The 4,246-nt window shown below is 41.3% G+C and overlaps 1 pseudogene, besides 1 other annotated feature; it reads right to left on the reverse strand.

Moving 5' to 3' along the window:
- Positions 205 to 705: an enhancer, noted in NCBI's record as "H3K27ac-H3K4me1 hESC enhancer chr8:57030128-57030628 (GRCh37/hg19 assembly coordinates)". NCBI's record gives its function as "activates a minimal SCP1, AML or CMV promoter by ChIP-STARR-seq in primed H9 embryonic stem cells {active_cell/tissue: H9 hESC(primed)}" and the evidence as "EXISTENCE:reporter gene assay evidence [ECO:0000049][PMID:30033119]".
- LOC124900263 (uncharacterized) lies at positions 3,878 to 3,988 on the reverse strand (annotated as a pseudogene).
- Between the last annotated feature and the right edge of the window lie 258 nt (positions 3,989 to 4,246).

Genomic DNA, 4,246 nt, shown 5'->3' on the forward strand with positions numbered 1-4,246 from the left:
GTCATCCCCCAAAGGCAAAGAGCAAAATGTGTTGATAACAAGGAATTCTCCTTGGAATTATATATGAAACAAAGGAGACAAGATAAACTGCACCTCCTGAGGAGCGAAATGCTCTCGTGTTCTTAGCGCACAGGCTTTACGTGTTTTGTTCTTTGATTGGCAGCATGACTATTAAGATACTTTCGTATCAAACACCATATTTATCACAAGAGTAACAACAGATACCGGAACGGATAGCTCCTTTTAATTTGACTTTAATCAGAGCCTGAGGATCGCGGATAGTGGGAGAACGTCCTCCTGACCAACGTGGTTGGCTTTCTGGGCACGCTGGGCCTGAGCCGCCCCAGCTCCCGGGGCGCGCACCGGGTTCCACGGGTACCGTGGACGGCGGGGCGCTGCGCCCTCCCTGCCTCCTGCACTTGCTGCGCTGGGGCCGAGGAGGTGGCTCTGCCTTTCTTGATTCCCCAGTCTCTGGAAGACAAGCCGCCCTCGCCGCCTCCTGGCTACCCGTGGGCTCGCCCTCGGGCTCGCCCGCTGGTGCTTTTGTGCGTTTCCTAGTGCACGGGCTTTGGGCGCGCTGGTGCCCGGAAGCACGTGGGCGAGGCCGTCGGTCCCCGAAAGACGCTCAGAGTGCGCCCAGCCTGCCCTTCTGCGTACGCAACAAATTTTCCTTTCTCTTTAGAGTCATCACGTCGTCTTTTGGAAGGCAGTCTTAAAAAGGCCCAGAAGCTCAACAGCAGTCTCAACAGCACATAAAACCCCACCGACGGCGGCCGCGCTTGCGCCTGCGCACTCTTGACGGCCGCCCGAGTCCTGGCAGGGGACCGCCAGGTTAAGAGATCTCGGGTGACAGCGGATTCGAGAGGTTACAGTGGATTCCAGAGGTTACAGTGCGAAGAGCGCGAGTATTGCAACCGTGCAAGTGTGGTATTGCTGGTTACAACCGTGGATTTCATCGTCGAAATTTCACTTTTGCCTTTTTTAAGACTAAAAAGTTAAGCTGTAGATGAATATATACGCTTTACTAAAAATTCCCATACAAAGATTATAGACTCAAACTTGAAAAACATATCAATTTTTTTTTACTTCAGTGGGATTATACTATTGACATTCTAAAATTTGAATTTTATACTTAGCAATATAACATAGACTTGTTTCTATGTCAGTAAAGTACATATACAGCTACTTTAATTTTTATATGGTCCATATAATATGGTCGGGGCAGATCTTAGTTTGTGGATTGCATGGAGCACGTCCCTGGATGTGACCAGCGCACACTATCTGTTTCCATGCGGGGAGGTTGGGGTTGGTTGCTTCCACTTTGCCCTGATCGCTTGGGTTTTGTATTTTGACTCTGGAGATACGTAAATAAAATTTTACTTGTCTAAATACAGCTAAACTTCACAAAAGGTTTTAAGACATACAAATGTGTTTCAAACTGGTTTTGGAAACCTTTGAATTTAATGATATCTTGCAAGTTTCTCATGTTTTTAAGAACATAAAATGCTTATAGATATTTGAAATTTTGAAATTTGATCTGATTAAAATGCGGCTGTCTTGAATGATTTTGTCCAATTTATGATCACATACTGGCATCTTCCCTCAAGCCAGACTATGTTTGCTTGCTTGTTTTTGTTTTGTTTTGTTTGTTTTTTGAGACAGCGTCTCACACTCTGTCTTCTAGGCTGGAGTGGAGTGGCGCGATCACAGTTCACTACAGCCTCCACCTCCCTGTGCTCAAGCTTTCCTCCCACTTCGGCCTCCCAAAGTGCTGAGATTACAGGCATGAGCTACCACGCCCCGCCTCAGAAAATGCTTTCTAACTTTGTATTTAATATTTACTAAATTCTGTATTTTTCACTGATAAATGTGTCAAAATAATAGGATGTTTGAATAAAGGATCCAAAAGTAATATACTCTATTCAATTCACCATCTTTACTCAATTTTAAGCAAAATTTTCTCATGCGTATCATTATGGACTCGTGGCCTCTCATAGATTCAATGTGATTTAATCAACTGCAATAATTATTATTTTTGCTGCTCAAATTGACACACTTTGGCCAATGGGGGGCCCTGTTTTGTTCTTTTGACACAGTCCCATTACTATGAATTATTTCTTGCCTCTTGGTACATACAGCAAGTTGCCTCAGGCTCATAATGGCTCCTGGAATCAGTCATTTCTCCAGGGTATCCTGGAAAGATGCCATAATCTCAGCATTAAGTGCACACATTAGGTTCATTCTCCTAAGCCCTTGTTATTAGTTCATTTTAGCTGACAGAATTGGAAAACATATACTCTTTTTTCTTTTAAAAAGCATGGATTTCTATTGATATTTCTAATTCAGTTCTGACAGTATGATTCCCAATTAAAGCATTTAAATTTTATTATTTTCCTTCTCTTTCCTTATACTTGAAAGCTTGATTCCAAACAAAATTAATCTAATTACTAATTTATCTGATAAAATTATTAAATAAAATTTAAGATTTCTTTGCAGTTGTTTTTATCCTTATACTGTATGCCACTAAGATGTGTAATCAAATTATTTTCTTGTAGAGTCACTCCTCATAGCTCATTCTGTGTGGCTTTGTCTTATATAAACCATGTATGATTAATTTGTTTTCAGTTCTGGGAGGTTGTCAGTATAACTAGCTGGCAGTTTTCCTAGAAGGTGGCAGTTTTCAGCCAAGAGGTTTTTTTCTTTTGTGATAATAAACCTTTGAGTATGGTAGAAAACTGTTCTCAGAGTCTACCTTATGAGATGTGGGTGAAGGGAAAATCAAGCAAACGAATTTCCCCAGTTATGTATGAAAATTTCATTTAGCCATTATCTGATCCTTACGTAGTGACCAGGTGCAACATTACACACAGAAGGTTCATATGCACAAGTTCTGGATGGCACCCAATTCTATCTTCTACTATTCAATTTCTGGCAATGTTAGAACCCACACAGCTTCATGTATTTCATTACAATTTAATTTAGTAAATAGTAATGATATTAAAGCCTTTAAAATTTATTCTCTCTCTTCTTTGAGCTTCCTTTTATAATATATAACATTTCCTACCAACATATTATTATATTATACCAAAGTTTACAATGCATAAATCCAAGTGATTCTCTAAGCTGATTTTATCATAACCTAGTCCCCAGATCTTTAATTTTCCTTTTTCTCTAGTTTCTCTTTATGTATATAGAATGTATCTTCTTAATGCCTCTTAGTCGACCAAGATTTTTTTTTGAAATACAAACAATTGCTTTCTCTCCTGGCCTTCTGCAGCCTAGACTTATCTGAAAAGAGACTTAACTTTATTTTCAGCCATTCTGAAATATTCAAATATTCTGCCTTTTCTTTCTTTCTTTTTTTTTTTTCTTTAGGCGGAGTTTCACTCTTGTTGCCTAGGTTGGAATGCAATGGCATGATCTCGGCTCACTACAACCTCCGCCTCCTGGATTCAAGCAATTCTCCTGCCTCAGCCTTCCAAGTAGCTGGGATTACAAGTGTGCACCACCATGCTCAGCTAATTTTGTATTTTTAGTAGAGATGGGGTTTCACCATGTTAATCAGGCTGGTCTCGAACTCCTGACCTCAAGTGATCCACCTGCCTTGGCTTTCCAAAATACTGGGATTATAGGTGTGAGCCACAATGCCCAGCCATATTCTGCCTTTTCTAGATGGAAAATATTCTAATTATTTCTAGGATGTGCCTTCTTAATGGCTTGAGGATTGCAGTGCTAATGGTTTGAGGCTGAATTTTTCTTTGTTCTTTTTAATTTTTTTATTTTTTTAATACTTTACAATACACCATGGCAGGTACCATCTGCCTGATAGGTGTGAGGAAAGATGACTGCCAGCCCGCTGTCTAAAACCCCAGGCAGGGCATGTTCCTAATCTGGGCACCGATTGCCCCCACCAGTGAATCAAGACCAGCAGATTCTCTGCAAGTGCCCTAGCACACCGGGACACTCGGAATGTGACTTGAATCTTGGTGAGGCTGAATTTTATATGCGATTAAGAGGCACTTTATAGCAAAGCTCTGGGCATCTCCGGTTGGCATCTTTGAAAATGGAACATCAGGACACTTGTTGGAACTCTACTCAAGACGATTTTGGGTGACTCTGGGGGCAGAGAAGGAGGAGGAAGTCAATTATTCGGTCTTTAGCTGTTGTGAGATGGGAGGCGGGGTGTGGTCTTAGTGGGTCACACTTGAACAGGAAATTGACAGGACTTCCCAGTGGTTCTCTCAAC

This window comes from Homo sapiens, chromosome 8, assembly GCF_000001405.40.
Source record: "Homo sapiens chromosome 8, GRCh38.p14 Primary Assembly".
NCBI classification, from domain to species: domain Eukaryota; kingdom Metazoa; phylum Chordata; class Mammalia; order Primates; family Hominidae; genus Homo; species Homo sapiens.